The sequence below is a fragment of the Homo sapiens genome, chromosome 1 (assembly GCF_000001405.40).
Source record: "Homo sapiens chromosome 1, GRCh38.p14 Primary Assembly".
Classification (NCBI taxonomy): domain Eukaryota; kingdom Metazoa; phylum Chordata; class Mammalia; order Primates; family Hominidae; genus Homo; species Homo sapiens.
The window spans coordinates 61273584-61295099 of record NC_000001.11 but is presented as its reverse complement, the minus strand read 5'-3'; the positions used below and the strand labels follow the sequence as shown (position 1 = coordinate 61295099).

Genomic DNA, 21516 nt, shown 5'->3' with positions numbered 1-21516 from the left:
GGAGCCTGAAATCCTGCTACTCCTAGCCAAGGCAAACCTTTCTCCCTCACTGGCAGCAAACATTTCACACCCTGCTCGAAACCATCTTGCTGTGTCTGCAGCCAGGGGGCCTCCAGGTACCAGAGTACCCACCCCAACATAGCAAGGAAAACTACAAGCTGCTTGACTGGACACTTAAGTACTGAATATCGAGTACTGAATATCGAGATAGACTGGGAATGACATGCTCTATACAGAAGTCCACTGAATACGGACAGCACTGTTCACCATCTTACCAGCGACAGACTCAGAGAGAGCTCACACTGCACACACTGCACCAGACAACAGGGATATAGCGAAGCATAAGAAATGCATTTAGTTCTGCATTTATAGTAAATATTTATTGAACATGTACTATGGGATAGGCACTGTGCTAAAGAGAAAACAGTGAGTAAAAAAGAAAAACAATCCTTGCTTTCATGGAGTTCGCAATCCACTTAATGTCTGCCTTTAAAGGCATTATTCAGAAAATCACACACATAAATGTAATATGAAAACTGTGTTAAACTGATTCAAAATCCTACACAAATGACTTTCCAATAACCTTTACAACTTATTGGCAAATGAAAAGAATGATTTCAATCGCCTTTCAAGTAACTTTTTTTTTGGTGAAACAGCAAGTGTAAGAAAAGCAGAGTAGAAATGTAGGAGAAAGAAAGCTGGACAAGGAACCGAACATCAAGGCTCTCAGTTCTACAATGAATCTGCTATTGGATGCATGAAACTTTACTTTTCTGTGCTTCATCACTCTTGTGACTAATGCCTGGAGCAGTATCTGCCATACAGCAGATGTTTAATAAATAAATATTGGTTGAATGAGTGAATATAATATGGGAAGATTTCATGTGAAGATTTTTGTAGTTCAATGTAAGCATTAAGAAATTGGAGATGAGAAGAGTCAAGTAACAAAGATGCATGTACTGTGCTTACACACCTGCAAATCAAACTTCTCTAGTAAACTGTGTCAAAGTGACCAAGTGGTCAGCAGGAAAATGTGGGAATCTGACCACTGGTCATACTTTTTCACTGCATCCCTCAGGCTTGGATTGTATTATAATTTAAACTCAACAAATGGACTTTTTCTGATTCCAACTCAGTAGGCTAGTACCCTGGCTAGCAACTTCACTGGTGCCACTCTAAGCCTTCTCTTCAATATTTACAGAATAAAAAGCAATTTTGGTTTGAGCTTTGAGCACATTAGATTTTGACAGCTTGGAAATGTCATTCTCAAAGCAAGGACTTCTCACATGCATAGAATTCTGGCTCTTAACTATTCTATAAATGCAAATGCAAATATCCTTGACCAGAAAACCTTGAGCATCATGTTCTAAGAATGTTAGTGAGATTACATGAAGTTCTTTTTAACTGTATTAGTTTCCATCCAACATCTACTAAATTGAATTAGAGTAAAGTGGGGAAGGCCTAGGTTCGAAAGGTGGATGCCAAAGAAGTCACATTTTAATTTCATCTCCATCTCTCATTTATGGATGCTTTCTAGCTGTCAGCCAGTCAGTCAGCAAGCTTCATTCCAAGGGAAACACGCTGGGTGACTGGCCATCCAAGAATTCAACATGATATGACTGGCGTATTTGAAACTGTTCAGAAACACTATGTCTTAGCCAAGCTGCAGCTTTACATGCTGGGTCCTTTCTGCCCCTAGGCCTTTACCCATAATGTTCCTTTTGTTTAACAAGGACTTTGCATCTTCCCTCTCATACACACAGAAACTGCAAATTCCATCTATCATTTTGTCAAGAGTGCCAGAATCCATTGATTGGGAAATATCTTGATGGCACATTTCTTATTTACAAAGGAGATTCCCAAGAACATAAATTTGCAAGGCTCAAGGAAAACTAAAGAAGAACAAGGAGAGGCTCAGAGAAGAGAGGGAGGGAGGAAGAGAGGGCAATGGTAACATGGCAGAGTGACCTAAGTGCTCTTAAAAACAGAGTTGTTTAAAATCAATGTGATGCGGTTAGTATGTTCTGAGACTTTACTGAAGTGCCCAAACTCGCCCTCCTACAACTTCACCAAAGCCAGCTGTACACATAATTTCTACAGGTAGATCAGACAGAAATACAGAGAAGGTGCTCAACCCAACATACGGGCACAGGACATGGAAAAGAGCATTGCACGACTTGGGGGAAGATCTATAAAGTAAACTAACTCAGCAGGTGCAGGAACTGACAGCTAGAAGAAAACTTTTGCTGTAAGCATCCCCAGAAATGCACAGAAATACTGGGATAGGCTTTAGATTTCCTCAGGTTGTGGAATGGGGGGTTTGAGCTAATTTTAAGGAGCAAGAAAGCTCTAAGTAACATCTAGGAACATGTATACACTTCAGCATTTAGGTCAAATACCTAACAAGCTCTTCTCTGAACACTTCTAACTTTACTTTTGTTGCTTCTTGCATAGCCTTTATCACTTGTGCCTCCACCATATGCCCCAAACACCATCCAAATAACTTTAGGAGATCACAATCACATTTTATGCAACTATCTGCCTAAATATCTGTATCCTTTGCTAGAATATGTACTCAAGGAGTATGGGGTTGGTTTCTCTTTTATGTGGATATGCCCACTGCCTGGCACAGGGATTATATATTAATAAATATATGTACAATTAAGAAAGATCAATTGGAAGGAGGGGAATAACTTATGATTATGTATTATTTTCCCCTGAAAAGACTTAAACTCCTGAACACAAGATTCATTCATTTACCCATTCATTCATTCACCCTAAAATATTTACTGAGTGCCATTTTGTTTGGAATATAATACACTACTTTCTGCCCTCAGGGAGCACATAGTCTAGAATAGTGGTCTCCTTAAAACACAAATTTGCGGTGTCCAAAGAAATCACTGGAGCTTCCATTTATACTGTAGCTTTTAAAAATAAGTCGTCTTTGAAAAACGATAAGTTTATTTCTAATAATGCATTCTCCCTCACTTGGTACCAATGTCAGGTGGTCATGTGTCACCCATGGTCTGCGAGGTATCCTGAGGAAAATGTGGAATTCTGCAGACTCTCTCTCACTGGCTTCGCTTTCAGTATACTGTGACATTTACTATTTTCATTGACTGGTGTTCAGTCAAAGTCCTAATAGATTATAAGGACTACAGATTACACATTGTAATATAATACATATTTACTCAATAATGTAATACATAATGCATGTAACACTATAATACATATATTATGTAGTATATCATATGACATTATGTCACCATACTTACATGTCATATGCCATTGTTATTCCCTGACCTCAAGTCTATACTTTCCCTGGGGTAAGGGGACAGAATAGTCAATACATTGAAAACCTAACAATACAAATTATTTGAGATTATAGCTGCTGAGTACAAAACATTTCAAAGCACACCACTATCCGTTATCCCTGTTTATTCTCAAAGCTCTCCCAAGAAAGATGAAGCAGGCACTCACTTGCTATTGATCATGAACATGTGCCTCAACTTCCAAGCCTCAGTTTCCTTGTCCTCTATATCTTAGAATTATTACATCAAATTAACATATTCAAACAATCTAAAGTTTACAGTACATAGTATTATTTGACCACAGTCAATTTTTGTGCCTCTCTTATGAATGCACAGAAAAAAATCCACAGAGATCAGAGTCCAAAACTCAAATGTTCTACACACTTACATGTGATTGGGCTATGAAACTTTGTTAGAATCTTTTGTTTCAAAGTTATGCTTTCCTAGTCAATTTACATACAGAAGTACCACCTGAGTCTCCTACTCTGAGTTGCTTTCCACATCGGCCTCACTATCAATTCTGCTCAGATAGAACTGAATTCAACAATATCTGCTGAAAGAACACCGGAAAGGGGTACAATGGAGATGACGGGCAGCACCTGCAACAACCAGTCTTGACTGGCTATTCCTAGCACCTGCTTTTCTCTTCTTTCTTCGTCTTTCCTAAGATAAAGTTAAAGGCTATTAACCAGTGGTCTACAGCACAGGCTTCTGTATCTTCTTACCATTAAGGACAACTTGTAATCATTTCCTCTCATAAGGCCAGCTTCTCAAAGTATTTAATTTACCATCTTTGCTAAATAATAGATAATTCATCATTCCCCTACCTTTCATTAAATGAATCCAAACTATAACTGCCAGAGTCTCTGTAAGTATAAGAGAACCCATGAGTTCACAAGCATAAAGTCAAAAGCAAAAATCTTCAGCCAGTGCAGCTTTATATAAGGGGAAAAAATGCATAATTTAAGATTTTTCCTCTGGCTCCCTTCAAGGACCACCAGTTGGTAACTACTGGTGGAGCACGTGCTAAGGTTTACTTGCATGCCTTTCATGATATTGTGTTGCAAATCCACTAGAATTGAAAGGACATAGACGTTCTGCACTGCTACTTTTAGAACTGGCTCAAGCTCGGACAACAAGGTGCTTCATTTTCCTTCTTTCTATTGTTTAGGATCCTACTGAAGAGTTCAAAGCTGTAACAATGCATTAAACTGAAAAGCTTTCAGTGTGGGTAGCATTTGTAATTTTAAAAGAAGATAAACCTCTCTATGGAGTTAACATGATCTGTGAATGTGGGACCTGCTAGGAATCAGATATCCTAATGAACTTTGTCTTGCTCACTTGAAATGGAGAATTAACCAATTCTTTTAAATAATTCAGAAATCTAAAATGAAAGGAATGGGGCACAAATTTCTATTGTACTGCACAAAAAATGGGGAATGAAAAGAAACATTTTATGTTTTCAGTAAAACTATACTCCTAAATCTTTTGCAACGGAAACACTTTTAAATTTATTGGCAATCATAATTGTTTTATGCCATCTAACAAACATAATGGCATCTGGTATAAATACCTTGCAACTAACCTCATTTTATAGTCTCCACCTCCAGCAGAAAAATCAAATGAAAACTCAGTCCATTGTTTAAAAATATCTATTAAAGTACCATATACTCATAATACTTGAGACTGTAGAAAAAAAGAACAAAGTGTTCATAAAAAAATAAGAATGTAATTTTTCTATAAAGATGTATATTTTGTCAAAAAAAAAAAAAAAAGAAACTTAAAAAGAAGATGTCCCTGGCACCTAGTTCATGTCTATGAGGCAATGAGGTGGATGAGAGAGAAGGCGAGCTACATTTTATTGAGTATCTATTTATGGATTGTTGCAAGTGCTCAGCACTTTCCACATATCTACATCCAGACATATAATCCACACAGAAACAGTCCTGTTAGTTCTGAGGATGTAGTTAAGCCTGTGGGTGCCTGAACAAGGCTGAGGCAGATACCTGGGAAGATGAGATAAGAAATAAAGGAAGAGATGACAATCCTAGATGAGAGCAAAACAAGAGGAAGGAAAAGGAACTAACGTTGTTTGTGCTCAGAACAAAACAGCAACGAAAACACATTTCCTGGGAAGGTGATGACATCGCACCTTATACATTAGAAAATAAAAGTTTAAGAGTTTAAATAACTTGTTCAAATTTATACAATCAATACATTATAGAACCAGAGTTTGAATTCCATTCTTTCTCTAATAGAATGCCATGGTTAAGCAGTTAAGACTCTGGACTTAGAGTTGAGTCTGAATACCCTTTATGCCTTCTTGACTGTAGGACAAGCTACTTAAATTCTTTGTGTCTCAGTTTCCTAATCTGTAAAATGGGCACACTAATAGCACCTACCTCCATAGGATTATATTAAGATGATATAAGATCATGAATATAGAACTCAGCACAGTGCATGGCTCTGGTGGCCATGAATAAAAATGGTCCACCCTGACCACCTGTTGCAAGGAACATGGTTGCCTAACAGGGCTGCTCCTCTGAATCCACCACCACATTTGCTTAAAGGCCACACTTCCTCCAGGCTGTTTCCAGCCAATAACTGAGGGGGAGGATACCAACACAGACCCATTCCTATAAAACACAGAATTCTTCCAACAGGGGACTTAAGCTCAGGGACTCTCCATTGGCATGGTCAAAATTTTCTTAGAAGCTTACTCCAGGCGCAGTGGCTCACACCTGTGACCCCAGCACTTTGAGAGGTTGAGGCAGGTGGATCTCTTGAGCCCAGGAGTTTGAACCCAGCCTGGACAACATAGTGAGACCCTCGTCTCTACTAAAAATACAGTAAATTAGCTGGGCTTGGTGGCGTGTGCCTATAGTCTCAGCTATTTGGTAGGCTGAGGTGGGAGCATCACCTGAGCCTGGGAGGTTGAGGCTGCAGTGAGCCATGATCATACCACTGCACTCCAGCCTAGGCAATGGGAGTGAGAGCTCTGGGATTCTTCCAACCCAATCTCTCATTCTTCCCTCCTCCTTTCCCACCTGTCAGAACTGTACTGCAGCCTAAAAGTTCTCTCAATCTACTCTTGCTCTGTCCCCCTTTATATTTGATAGGTATTGCCCCAATAAATCTCTTGTCCTATCAGGACATATTATTCTTGGAGGACCCAAACTAACATACTGGCACACAGAAAGTCCACAATGATTGTGAGCTACTATTATGATTATTATCACCAAAAATCATTATTTTTGTTATTATCTGGCTTTAAGCCTAATAGAGTTTAACCCTATTTCCAAAATTGTTTTCCTTGAATCTGTGAACACTATTCTTTTTTAAAGCAGGAGGATTCAAAGGTTACACTATATTTCTTTAACATGTTCAAACAAGATTTGTCATACCTAGCAAAGTTGTCCCAATTACAGATGAAAACATATACATTTATCATTCCATATTGCACATGAAAAATATGGCCCCTTCTATTTTCAAGTTTATCAGAAATGCCATTTCTCTACTTCACCTTTGGATGTGCGAATTCCAAATGCTCTATTATTTGACTGATTTCCTATTTTCATCATCTTTCGTGAGTAAATGGTCTGCCAGTAACTGGATGTATGGGCTCACACAGTGTCGCAGTGGCTTACTCAATTAATACACGACTAATTAAACTTATACACTCACTTGCATGGGCTGAGTGGCTCTCAACTATTATATTGTACCTATTGACTGTGCCTCACAAGTGGTTTATTGTTCCAAGAAAACTACTGGGCTAGGTACCAGCAGATGCGGAAGGAATGGAATTTAAGCAGCCAAGTCACTAGAACTTTGTAGTACTCTTCCCAGATTTCATTTTCAGTGGGTTAAATTCCAGTGGTTTGACCTTTTGTGATCAGTGAAATCATCACAGACTAATCAAACCTTTTCATACACTGCTGTTACTATTGCCTATGTAACCTCCACAGGAATATGTGGAGAATTACAACTGGTTGCCAGATAAAATACAAAACTTGGTCTAGACAAACAATGAATACTTTGTTTGTGTAAGTATATTTCACGCAGTACTAAAAAATTATTCACTGTTTATCTGAAACTCAAATTTAACTTGGCATCTTGTTTTTTTTGGGGGGGGTTGGGGACAGTCTTGCTCTGTCACGGGTTTTGCCATGTTGCCCAGGCTGGTCTCAAACTCCTGGCCACAAGTGATCTACCTGCCTTGGCCTCCCAAAGTGCTGGGATTACAGGTGTGAGCCACCATTGTGCTACATCTGGCAACTATTTAGGAACAAAATCCACCTTCATGGTGAATGTATGTGAGACCTGGGGGTTATAATCTAATGGGGTCACGAGAGCAGGGGTAAGCTGAAACTCCACAGATTTCGACCTCCATTTTGAGAAATAATTGTTTACACAATTGGGTATGTGAAACCAAATATTATTCCATGCAAGTAACTTGGCTTTTAGTAATATGCACGAGGGAAAACCTTTGGAGGTACTAAAAGATACTGCCATGACAAATCAGAGTCTCATTCCTTAACAATGCTATGAATGAGGTCTTTGTGTACAACTCCACACTAAACTCTGTCTACTTTGCTTCCCACTGAACACTCATTATCTAGAACAGTGACTATCACAGTGTAGGGGATCAGGACATATCTACTGTACCAAGAAATGAATGGACTCATATGTGCATTCTTCCAGAGTATACCATGGCTTTTCAAGGATGTGCCATATCTTTTCCTTGGCTTACAAGATCCAATATGATTTGCCTTCCTGCTACTCATCTGCAACTATTCTCTCCCTTGTTTGTACCCTTCAAGCCACACCAACCCCCTTAGTGTTCTTCCAGCATGTCTCAGGGCTGTTATATTTAATGTTCCCTCTTCTTAGAATAAAAGTCCCTAATATCTGCATAATTCACTTCTTTGACTTCATTAGGACTTAACTCAAATGTCAACACATCAGAAAGGCCTTCCTTTACCACCCTTTATAAGACAGTACCCACATCCTCCCTTCTTTAATCCCTTATATTGCCTTATTTTCTTTTATAATGTTTGATGCCACTTGGCATGTGACATGTGTATTAATCAGCTGATTGTCTGTCTCCTTCCCCAAGAAGGTAAGCTAAATTAAGAGTAGGATTTTCTGTTTTGCTCAGTGTGATGCCTAGAACATGCCTGGTTCTTAGAGTGTATTTGATAAATACCTGTTGAATGAATGAACGAACAAATGGTGTCTTTTCCCTTTTACTAGACTATCAGGTTCTCAAGAGCAGGATGTCTGCTCTATCTCTGTATTCCCTTAACACATCCAATACCTAGTCCAAATATATCCAGCAATTCTATTTTTTTTTTTTTTTTTGAGACAGAGTCTCGCTCGGTCACCCAGGCTGGAGTGCAGTGGCGCAATCTCTGCTCACTGCAAGCTCTGCCTCCCAGGTTCATGCCATTCTCCTGCCTCAGCCTCCTGAGTAGCTGGGACTACAGGCGCCTGCAACCACACCCGGCTAATTTTTTTTTTTTTTAAGTAGAGACAGGGTTTCACAGTGTTAGCCAGGATGGTCTCAATCCCCTGACCTCGTGATCCGCCTGCCTTGGCCTCCCAAAGTGCTGGGATTACAGGCGTGAGCCATCCTGCCCGGCCTATCCAGCAATTCTTAAGAATGATCTGTTAAATTACTTATGAGAAAATTGAGGTACAAGTCTTTAAGTGACTTGGACAACTGATTTTCCCTTAACAGACGCTCAGTGTCAGGCTTTTAATGGCAAGTCTCTTTTGCTAATTTGACCTATTCGGAAGCTGTGATTTGGCTTCTTCTTGTTCATCTCTGAGTTTACAAGTGCTACTTGCTGAGAAGCTCTCTGGTTGTAAAATACCTACAGAGATCTAAGAAAACACTGACTTTCCTTCGTGGAAAGATTGTTGAAAAGCTATTCCTATTTTGCCGAGCCTTGCCACAATATCCTTACATTTCTCTTTTTGGATATTCACCATATGATGCCTGTGGATAAGCCATATGAGACTCCCTGGTTCCCTTTGGGTTAAAATCAACCAAGTATAGAAATGCACAACTGAGATGGGGCAGAGTAATCTGCAGCAAATAGTGCCCCCTACCCTCCACCCCTATTTGAGATATCCCACTAGATTTCCTTAACGACAAGCTAATGCCAGGGGGAAAAGAGTTGCCTGGAGCTGAGTAAAACCTGAAGAAGAGAAAAAGAATGAGGAAGCTGCAGGGAGAAAAGGTGCCAAAAATCCTTGTGGCCACATGAATTTTTCTAGCAGGCAACTAATCAATCTGGATTAGTGACTCCAAATCCCCAAATACATTATGTATATTACATTCAGTTTACTAATATTATCCACAAATAGGTAATTCCTTCCAAAAAATAATGTACAGGCTTAAAAACAACAAATTCACATTCAAATTTAAAAGCAGAAGTGACCCTATTATTTGTGGCAAGGAAAGCTCATACCCAATTCCTGACCCCAGCTCGCCCCTCTGATCTTTCACCACGCTGGTTTTTAATTGATGGGGAGGTATGAAAAGTGGCCATTAGAAGTGGTCCTTCTAAGGATATCTCTGTCAAAGGGTCCTGTCATACTAGTTCCAGGCTTAGATCACAGGGAAAACAGAGCAATGGCAGATGGAGCTGTAGCCAAACACCAGGTGCACCTTCTACCGCACTGTGATTTGATGACGGCTCCTCATTTGATTTCCTTTTTGAGCCCAATTCAAATACTGCATAAATTGTATTGCTTCATATTTTCATATTTTTAGAATCTAGATCTATGTATATATTTACGCAATTCCAGATACATTCTAAATACACACTTTAAAATGCTTTCCTACTTGGAACGTTACATTCAATAGGCACTTCTGGGTCTCTCCTGGGATAAGAGTCAGAGGCACAAACGAATTTGAGGACCAGCAAGAAATCCCTTTTTTTCTTCTTTCCTGTGTAACTCTTTGTGTGTGAAGGGTTGGAGGTGGGGGGAGTGGGGAGGGGAAGATGTCTGAAACAGACCACCCAGTCAGTCCATTTTAGAACCTGAAAATCAGGGGAATAGGATCTAAAACATTTCCTATTTTGGCTACTAGCCAACTAACCTAAAGTCTGTTCAGCTAGTTATTCTCTGTGTGAAGACAATAAAATACTCATAATGTGTGAGGATAAGACTACTTTAAAATGGCTACAAATCTCCCCCCACACCCCCCATTTTTCAGTTGAAAAGGCGCCTTAAGTACACTGGATCCCGTGGCTTAAGCTCTGCAGCCTCCACTGCGTCATGCACTTGGGGAAGCCCCCAGCCTAGGATGGCACCTCATCTTTCACAGAGAAAGACTCAGGAATTTCCTTTGTCTGGAGGCATTTCTGAGGAGCCTTTGCAAACAATGATGGGTCACACCTGCTAACAATTCTTAAGAAAGCAAAATTCACCTAGTTTCAGAATGAAATTTCAGATGAAACCAAATTCTAGTTCCCTAATCTCTTAAAGAAGAGAGACTAGCTCCATTGCATTGCTGAAAATTCATCAGTCAGAATTTAATTATACAGATCTGGAAACCAGAAGGCATTTAGGTTTTAATGTCTCCCTGAGTTGGGACCTTTACATATTTTAGAATATTGATCATAACTGTTATTGCTGCTATTTTGGTGGTCACTCTACTGTGTCTGTCCCTGCGGGGTTTTTTGAAGGAACACTGCAGAGAAGAACTGTTGCTAGGTAATTGTAAAAGAAAGTCATGCAAATTATGAAATATTGATAAACTGCATTTACAAGTCAATGGTGCTAGAATGCTCCTTCTTTCCCAGTAAAACATAAACTGTAAGGTTGCATTGCCTCCAAATTTTTTTAAATCACCCAACTAAATGACACATTCATCAAAACAGTTCCTAAAACAAGCAGTCCATCCAGCAGTGACCATTTTTGCAGTTTTGAATTATCAATTTTATTTTGCCTTCCCACTATATATAAATATTGCAATATAATATTGTAATATATCTACTATACATGTGAGGAGGTAGTAAAAACAATTTAAAACATTAAACAAGAAGGCCCACAATTTTTAAAGAGAATAATGTCAGATAAAAAAATGTTCATCAAAAAAGAGAAAAAGAAATTTATAGGTTTCTCTTCTCAGCCCCAAATTACAAAGTAAATCCTACACATAAATCTTTTTTTTTTTTTTTTTTTTTTTTTTTGAGACAGAGTCTCGTTCTGTCACCCAGGATGGAGTGCAGTGGTGTGATCTCAGCTCACTGCAACCTCTGCCTTCTGGGTTCATACGATTCTCCTGCCTCAGCCTCCCAAGTGGCTAGGATTACAAGCATCTGCCATCACGCCCGGTTAATTTTTTTTTTTTTTTGGTATTTTTAGTAGAGACCGGGTTTTACCATGTTGGCCAGGCTGGTCTTGAACTCCTGACCTCAAGTGATCCACCCGCCTTGGCCTCCCAAAGTGCTAGGATTACAGGCGTGAGCCACTGTGTCCAGCCCTACACATAAATCTTAAGTCAGGAAGTCAGTTGCACTAAAACTTATTTCGTAAACATTAAAAATTCAATGAGTTAAATAATAATGCATGAAATAGCAACAATTACGGATGAAAAGAAGTACATTCCTTGTTCACCTAGCAACATTTAACAATGATACCTCTTTTAACAATTCAGGATGTGAACGACATAAATGAAGATGGTGAACATGAAAGGTAGATTCAACCAATACTCCACAGGGTAATTTTCAAATTGGCAGGTAGAGCTGGAAATTTTCAAAATCTGGGGCAAGCATCATGATTAATGGGCTTCCACTGATTGCAAAGACCCATCTGAGGGTTGATGCCACCAACATATGTGCAACTACCAGATAAATGAGGAGGAACAAACATGATTAAACCTAAAGGAAATCATCTAAATACCAATTCTGATTTCTTGTTATAAATATCACATTTTAAAAACCACTATGATAAAGTTATTACTAGCAGTCTGTGCAGGTGATGAGAAATGGCAAATAGAAGGGAAAAATAACCAGGTGAAGATAGCATTACTTTCTGGCAAGGGAGCCCCACATTTTCTTTTTTTAGTTAAGGATGCTTTCACGGATAACAGTGAGAGCCAGTGGGGGTGTGTTTTCAGAGTGCCAACGCTGGCCTATACTGTTGCCTCAGACACTGACTCAGTGCAGCCCTACAGAAGTGTGCCTTGAATTAAGTAAGAAGGCTATCACATGAGCTTTATCCTCATTAATGACTGACCTGATACACCACAGAATGCAAGCTTTGGAGGACTGTTCACAGGCCCTGTAAATATCAGGCAGGCATTTTAAATGCTCTGTCCCATAAATATGTTTAAAGTAACCAAAGTATGTCATGGGAGTTCACAAAAGTTGTTTAAATCGATGTTCTAAGTCAAAGTCCAACAAATAAGGCTTAAAACCTTCAGGAGCTCTGGAAAAGCCAGATTCAGTGATATAACAAAGGATTAAATGATACCAATCAGAGCTAGGAACTTTGTCTGAACTGCATTCCCTACGGTAATCAAGCATCATGCATAAACTGAAATGGTGATGTTTCAAACATCTGACCACACCTGCTCATTGAAGTGGGGGTGGGGGCGGGCAGGAAGGGGAGAGGGACAACTTGATGTCCTATTCCCATTAGTACCTAGCCCTCAGCTTTGGCTTCCTAGACCTACTAGTTATATCTGTTAATCTCTGTCCATGTGTCTGAGGACAGCCTTCCCCCACACCCAAATTAGGTTTTCAGCTTCTCCAGAGCGTTTTTGTTTTTTTTGTTTGTTTGTTTTTCTTAAAATCTCTAGGTAAATCAAGAGTGAACAGATACTCCAAAAATATTTGGGAGTAATGACAATATATTCATCTACTTATTAATTTTATTCATTAAGCAAATAAGTACTAGGTACCCATTAAGTTCAAGGCACAGATCTACGGGCTGTGCAGGATTTTTTTTAAAAGGAATTTGTCATAAATCCTACCCTTAATCAGCTTATAGTTTTTAATAAGCCAGATTCTATTTGGTTTGTGCCAAGGAAAAACTCAGCTAAAATTAAAGACATCTAGGAGAAGTCTCTTCTTTCCAGAATCACCTTCTTGAGCACTCATTCTGAAGGTTCCAGCAACTCTGAATCCTTTTTGCAATTCCCTGGTTCTCAAACTCATGGGAGATGAACAGATTGTGAGGATAAAACAAAATGGGAAAACAGACGTGGCACCATGGGGATTGTGGGGATTTGGGAAACCCATGTCTGACATTTCAGAGCAGGGTAAGTACCCACTAAAGATGTCTCTAAAAGTCTTGGTATATTTCTGACGCCATCCCCTTCCACTCCAAGGCTCCCAGCTTTGGACCTCTTGAATATACGTACTCGTTGTAAATACGACAAGCTTTAACTGGAAGGTAGTAATGGTAACCTTCCTTTGAGTCCTTACTGTGAACCAGGCAGAATGCTATTTTGTATGCATATTCTCAGTTTACCACTCATGAGATACGTCCTTTTAGTATTTTATTTCTTTTCTTTTCTTTTTTTTTTTTGAGATGGAGTCTTGCTCTGTCACCCAGGCTGGATGAAGTGGTGCCATCTTGGCTCACTACAACATCTGCTGCCCGGATTCAAGATAGTCTGCTGCCTCAGCCTCCCGAGTAGTGGTATTACAGGCATGTGCCACTATGCCTGGCTAATTTTTGTATTTTTAGTAGAGACGGGCACCATGTTGGCCAGGCTGGTTTCGAACTCCTGACCTCAAGTGATCGACTCACCTCAGCCTCCCAAAGTGCTGGGATTATAGGCGTGAGCCACTGCACCTGGCCTCCTTTTAGTATTTCTGTTTTACTGGTAAGAAAACTGAGATTGGGGTGTACCTTACTCAGTCACTCAGCTATTATTTAATTTGAACTCAGGTCTTTTTGACTCCAGAGGCAGAGTTTTTACCCATTATATTATACCAATTTTGAGTTTCAGAGCTTCTGATATTTTATCGCTGGGCTTCAGATAATTCCTTCAAAATTCCCATCTAATGCTCTAATTGGACAAAGATTTGTTTTCTTTTACAGTTGAGTCTTAAGGGAGTACAAGAAAAGAAAGCAAAAATTCCACAGAAAAAGCAGACTAGTTGGACAGGGAAGAAACAGCTGCATCCACTTTATGTAAAGTTACATGGCCCAGTTTACGGTTTGGGATGAAACAGCGTGTTACCATTTGTCTATTCATTCTCCATGGTTTACTAGGGAAATACCATTCGTTTCCCATTACCTTTCTCAAGAGCTAGGATAAAAAGAATATTATTTTTTCGCATACATACAAACATACATATATATATACACACACATACATATATGTGAAGTAATGAATTCCCATTTTATTTGAAGAATCAAGTCTGTTACTTCTTCAATCAGCAAGATTCCAAAATTTCTTAGAGCTTTGTTGATACACCTATGAGAGTTCCCTCTTTCAAAACAAAAACGAAACACACACTTCATCTTCATATCCTGAGGTAATGAAAAAGAGGAAACATTCTCTTGATCAACGCAACACCAGAGAGTAGAACCTTATCTAATGCATGTAAATACCCAGCCCTGAATCTTCATTTATTCCTTTTGGGATTACGTGTCTTTAAGGAAAAGAGAAAAATCATTTTTCCTCCACTAACTTCATCTGAGATTGACAAGAGGCAGAAAACTGAGTAGGCTGATAATTCTTCAACTGGGGCTAAGATAAGCCAGCTTCTACTACTTTTTCTTTGAAACAAATAGAAAACTGAAAGATAGGAATTTATTACTTTATCTCCTAGATATTAATACTTTCTTTCTTTGAACTCACATGATTTCCCCAAAATGATAGTGTAAATCCTTGAGGTAGTAGCATCAAGTGATCTGAGGTTAAAAGTGAACTTGGCTAGTATCTCTCTGCCTTTGGCCAAAAAATCCAGGCTCAATCCTGGTTGCTTTCTGGAATGGGAAACACACAATATTGGGATTGCAGGCAGCTCCAGAAAGGCATGCCAGGCCTCTCATGCTCTCAATTTATATTTGCATGTGAACAGCTTGTTGGCCATTTTATGAAGACAGATGAATCACAGGCCTGCTAGAGGGGCGGCCAGACCTAAATACGCGAACTACACACCCGTACAGTCCACACATTTTTGAAGATGAAAATAAAATTATACCTCTGGAGACATCTTTAGGGAGATTATGCACAAATACAATATGTAGAAAAAAGTGAAACTTTGAAGACATCACCTACAAGTCAAGTGGAAAATAAAGAACGAAACTAGTCTATAAATACCACTCTTTAAAATGTCAACAAAAAATAAGATGTAGCTGTATATGACACTAAAAACAAACCTCCAGAGTTCTCTCTTTTTTTTTTTTTAACTGCCTGCTTTAAAAAGACAACTTTGATAAAGAAAATATCACCAAAATACCAGGATGAGGAGAGGAATTGCCAGGCAGTCCATATTTAATGCTAGAATCCAGCAATGTAATCAAATTTCTCATGGGTAGGAAATGAAACATATTCTGAAAAATCAGTGATAGGATAGCTAATGTGGTAAACTTGATCCTTCACCCCACAATACCAACATAATTCCGTTTGCCTATCTTTTCCAAAAGATTGGATGGAGATCAACATGGAACAATGTACAGAACAACAAAAGGAAGAGACTCAAGCAATGGGGTCATTCAAAGTGGGTGAAAAACAAAGTATGACAGAATTATATTGACAAGAAAAATAATAAAAGTCATAATGAACCACAGCTGACATTTTTAAAGCATAAACTCTATGAAAGATACTATGGTAAACACATTACACATATTATCTTATTTAACTCTTCAACAAACAGGTAATATTATTACCCTGTTTTAGAGGAATAAATCAATACTCTGAGAGGTTAAATAACCTATTCAGTATCACACAGGTAAGAAATAGGAGAGGCAGAATTTGAATGCAGGTCACAGCCTGAGCTTCCGCCGCCCCGCCTCCCCTGAGATGTTCTGCTCTGTTGCCCAGAGCTAGAGTGCAGTGGCGCAATCTCAGCTCACTGCAACCTCTGCCTCCCAGGTTCAAGCAATTCTCCTGCCTAAGCCTCCCAAGTAGCTGGGATTACAGCAGGCACATGCCACTACGACCGAATAATTTTTCTATTTTTAGTAAAGACATGATTTCACCATGTTGGCCAGGCTGGTCTTGAACTCCTGACCTCGTGATCTGCCAGCCTCAGCCTCCCAAAGTGCTGGGATTACAGGTGAAAGCCACCACGCCCAGCCCACAGCCTGAGCTTTTAATCACAATGGCATATTCTCCCCACAGGCCCTTCAAGGTAAAGCATTCCACCAGAGTCCTCAGTGCTATCAGCAAAGAAGAACATTTTGGAATTTTATGAGATGATATCTGTGAAAGTATGTAACACAATGTTTGTTATATGATAGGCACTGCTAGTTCACTGAAGTCTCTGTTTTTATTGAAACCGATAGTTTTATTCAATATAAAACTCCAACCCATGACAGTATTTTTCATACTTGTAGTGCCTGCCACGAATTCAAATTTTACCAGATACTATGATATTCATATATAATGTATGTTCTATTTTAATAAAGCATCTGCAACAGAAAATTTAGATATTTATGCAGCAGTGGAATTTAATGCTGCCCTGTATCCTCACTATTTTATTTTAGACAATTTAAGGTAGAAAAATCCTTCAAAGCATAGATATTTTTTTTTTTCTTAAAGGAATTGGCAAAGTGTTGAGCTCCCAAAAGGCTTAAAACTGCTTGTGAATGAATGATCTTAAATCACTAGTGAAGATGATCATGGGGCATTTGCCACATTAAAGAACTAAAATGAAATGAAAAAGCCATGACTCCTCACTTAATGCTATTAAAAAAAAATCTGATTTGGTAAATTAACCCCACTTCTCATAGTTTAATTGGGTAATCAACGTTCTTGGGAATTCAGGTTCTCATGGGCACCCTAATAGTGTTTAGGGCCGGGGGTCCTGAGGCTGCTGGGGTGATCCCGAGAACAAGAAGCTGCCCTATTAAAAGTAATCTACTTGAGTTTTTCCGAGTCTTTGGAGTTGTTCCTACTGTGGGCTACTTATAGGGTAGGCCCCCAAATCCTCACACTTAGTCGGCCTGCTGGCTGCTGTGGACTCTGAAAGCAGCAGCTAGAGTCCCAAGCTAAACTTACCATTTTCTGGCTGGTCCTTAATGTCAGCGTCACTTGGCTGGCTGGGACTTTCAGATTGACTTGAATCTGAAAAACATAAAAATACAGCCAAAAATTACAGGGTCTGCAAGGGAAAGTGCATCAGAGGTGCCAGACTTTCTCAAAAGGTTCAACCTATAAACTAAGAAAGGGAACATTACAGAAATGACATGAGACATGAAAAAAAGAAAAGATGGAAAGAGAAAAGAAAGAGAGGGAAATGCAGCAGCAGCCTGTGCCTTTAGAGAGGACGCTCCGGTTTGCGGACACCTACGGTGGCATTGGCTTTTGCCAGATCACAACTTGAAGCTCTTCAGCAACCATTCTCTTAGAGAGACCATTTCCAAACTGCTCTTCTCCACTATTTATACACTCGAGTCTGATAAAGACTTCATCCTTCATTACACACATCTGAAGCTTGATTCAGAACATAATAAAGTGTCAAAACATATTTTGAAGCTGGTATATAAAAGCAACCCAAACAACAGTAACAAGTTCTGTTGATATTTAGCTCTGCATTCCAGCAACAGACTACGCAGACTAACACCATTAAATACTAGAGTCCTAATATTCCATCACATTTTCTTGAAATAACTGCATAACTCAAAGAAGTCTTTCTGAAGGTACAAGTTTCCCCTGCTTTATAAGAATTATTTTTTTCTTGTACTGATGCATTTGGGAGATCCTAAAAGGACTTGTTTGCAAAAACAGATTTTTGTACACCTCTATAGAATTAAACATTTTTTAATTTAAAAAATATAATCATATTTTCAAACTAAAAAAGGAATTTGATTAACTTAATTTCTAAATGAAATAAGGGAAAATCAAAGTAACTTAATTTTTAAATTAGATAAAATTAACTTAGATCAAAAGAATTTCACAAAATTAGAAACAAGCATATTTATGGTACAGTTTTTGGGGAGAGGAGAGAAAAAACAGGCAAAATGTTTCAAGGGGAAAAATTTTGATTTAAAAATAAAGCGTTTTCTGAGACTTGAAGTCGTTTACAACATTGTTCAAAAGCAAACACAAAAATTTTTTTTCAACAAAACCTCTGTATCTGCGGAGAGCTTGCATCCTAACTTCAACTTGACTTCACAGGTTTTGAATTAGCTGCCTGAAATTTAACCACATTTCTGCAAGTTTAATGTAAGGTCAAAAGGTCATGACACTTAACTGTGATTAAACAGAAAATATTACTTCTATAGCAACTGAGTTATAGCATCACCCTTCTCTTTCTTGGAGATGCTGCAGAAAGAAGTGGCACTACTAGTGACCTTAGGTCTAGAAATGCTAATTTATTACTTTAAAAGACTCCCTGCTTTTAAGCAAACGAAGATTTTACTTATAAGAAAGTGCTATAGCAAAAAATATCCATTTTAAAATTTTCAGATAATCTTAACCTGGTGACTATAGCAAAAATTCTATGTTGATTCAAAGGTTTAAATAACAGAAGATGCTAAAAAGTGAATTTTTATTTGAGTCTGGCAAAGTGACAGCTTTTATCGTTCTGTAACAATTGCCACAGAGAAGACACAAACAAAATGTATTATTATATGCCAAAAACCTTTAAAGAAATCCTTCAGAATAAACTACAAAAATACAAAACCTAGACTAAAAATTAGAAATGCAAACAAATTTACATTGACCCATATTTAAAATTTTAACTACATAAATTAATATTATATATATCACAAACAATTAAAAAATACAGCATGACTACCTTCTTTTTCTTCTAGGAAACAAGCCTATAATTTTGCCATTAGAAATTACACATTAAATATTTTGAGTAGTAATTCAATGTATTTTAGGAGAAAGACATGCCTCCATTGTTTTTGTTCTGGAAAATCTTAAACCATTAATTTCTATAACTAAAATGAAAGCAAAATATCTAATTTTGTTTTAGGGAAAATTAAAATTCTTGATCATGTCCCGAAACAGATACATAAAATTTTGCCAAACATAATATTTTCTTTGGAATAATACTAGCAAACATACATCTCTATCCATGTACTACTTCTATGTGTAATATCTTTATAATTAATCACTTCTCTATGAATAAATGGAAAATAGTTTTATCTCAATTATTAGATATACAATAGCCAATTACTTTTCCGATATTTATCCATGAATATTAAAGCAAAAAGGGATCAGGAAAGACCCTAAATTTTTTTTATTTAATCTGAAAGCAGACTTCTTTCTTCTTTTCACTTTTTGTTTAAATTTGTCACCTACCTTTACAGATACATAGCATAATAATAGAAAACATGAACAACAATAAAAGATGAATATTAGGTATGTCCAAAGAAAGTTTAAAATTCCAAGCCACAGAAAAATAAGCAAACCAACAGCAAAGGAGTGAGTGGCAAGAAAATGCTCAGAGTTGGTCTGCAAGGGGCCGCCGCATTCTCGTGAAAGCTCAGATACAAACACTGGAGAAGGCATCCAGCCAAACTGAAAACGGAATTTAATTTTTCTAGTTTTATTCAAAAGCTGGAGACACCGCTATCCATCTGAGGACTGCATACTAAAATGCACCATCCTGCTAAGGGGCAAGCAAAGCCAAAGATCTACAAGAAAATGCATATGATCTCAAAACTTCAATAATTATTTTCTACCCTCGGCCGTTCAATACCATTTTCTTTTTCAGCCAAGAAGGAGCAAAACTACCCAGTCTTAGTGCTATTCTCTGCTGAGGATGCATGGACACTCTTTCTGGTATTGCAAAAGGTCACTGATGCTGTTAAGTGTGGAGCCAACCAGATGACCAAAATTATAAATTAATTTCTACCCAGGTATAATTGATACAAATGAAAGATCTCTTTCTCAAACATTTGCATTAAAACACTATCAAGAAGGTTAACAATTAATTCACTTTTCTCCTTTATATACTCCATAGACACCTGTCAGAAGCCAAGGTAACTTTGTGTCTTACTCTTTCGGACAAATATCACGTGGTTGATTGATTTCTACCACCTTAAATAATTAGGAACCTCAGAAAACAAACCCAACTGCATAGAACTGGATGTTCTTCTTGTATCTGAGTCTCCCATACCAGTGAGTTTCTCTGGCTTACTGGTTGAAAGCCAGAAGATCTGTATATTACAATGAAGAGAATTTTACTTACACTGTGTTTAAAGGATGGGGTTGGAAATGCTCTTGTAAGGAAGTACATTAGGGTTATCAATTTTTTTTCCCTATCTAGGGATTTGCTTTTTGTTTAAGGAAACTTAGACTTCAACCTAACCTTGAAAAGCAATGTTTCTTTGGATTTTTAAAAAATTTATGAGCAGAAATTTAAACCTAAAATAGACAGGGTTTGCATATGGGAGGCTAGGTTAAGAACTCTTAATTGAACTGGTAGCCATCCACCTATGCAGTTTTATGGCGCCTACAGCTATATTGCTGGAGTACTCAGACAAAGATAGTTCACTGTCAACGTAATCACTAGGGAAAGGAATAAAATAAATCCTGATGCCTACATATTTGTCTCTGCTTCCAAACGCTTGTACAATGCAAGAACGGAAACCTTGTACTGGATTTGCTACATGTACACATATTCGGCTCCTCAAACCTCAGGTCTACTCCCCTTCAGAATGAAACTTCAGTATTCCTTTGGGGAAGGTGAGGAATGACAAAAACATGTTAGTATGGTAAAATGAGTGAGGCAAAAATATAAATATCCCTTCCATGTATTTTATGTTCTTTAGGCAATAAACAAAGATAGAATATTGCTAAATCTTCCCTTTCACCTAGAATTAAACACTTTGTCCTCTCCAGTCCCTCTTTCATTGCAAATGTATCTCTTACAGTGTGATTAATATTATGCTGTAGTAAGGTGAGTTCAAACCATCTGAGAATGTCAGCTTCTAAAGAAAGGAGTTCCTTCCTACTCTTCTCTTATCCCCGGTACTTTCCACAGGGTGCCTGGCCCAGCCAAGGAGTTCAATAACTGCTGAACTGAAGAGACGAAATTTCAATTGT

The 21516-nt window shown here is 38.2% G+C and overlaps 1 protein-coding gene across 4 annotated transcripts in view; it reads right to left on the bottom strand.

Moving 5' to 3' along the window:
- NFIA (nuclear factor I A) overlaps nucleotides 1-21516 on the bottom strand; it is a 385562-nt gene that overhangs the window by 167689 nt on the left and 196357 nt on the right. For all 4 annotated transcript variants that reach the window (NM_001145511.2, NM_001145512.2, NM_001134673.4 and 1 more), the window contains one exon: nucleotides 17515-17580. In NM_001145511.2, the coding sequence (NP_001138983.1) occupies nucleotides 17515-17580 (66 nt within the window). The remainder of the gene's footprint in view (nucleotides 1-17514; nucleotides 17581-21516) is intronic.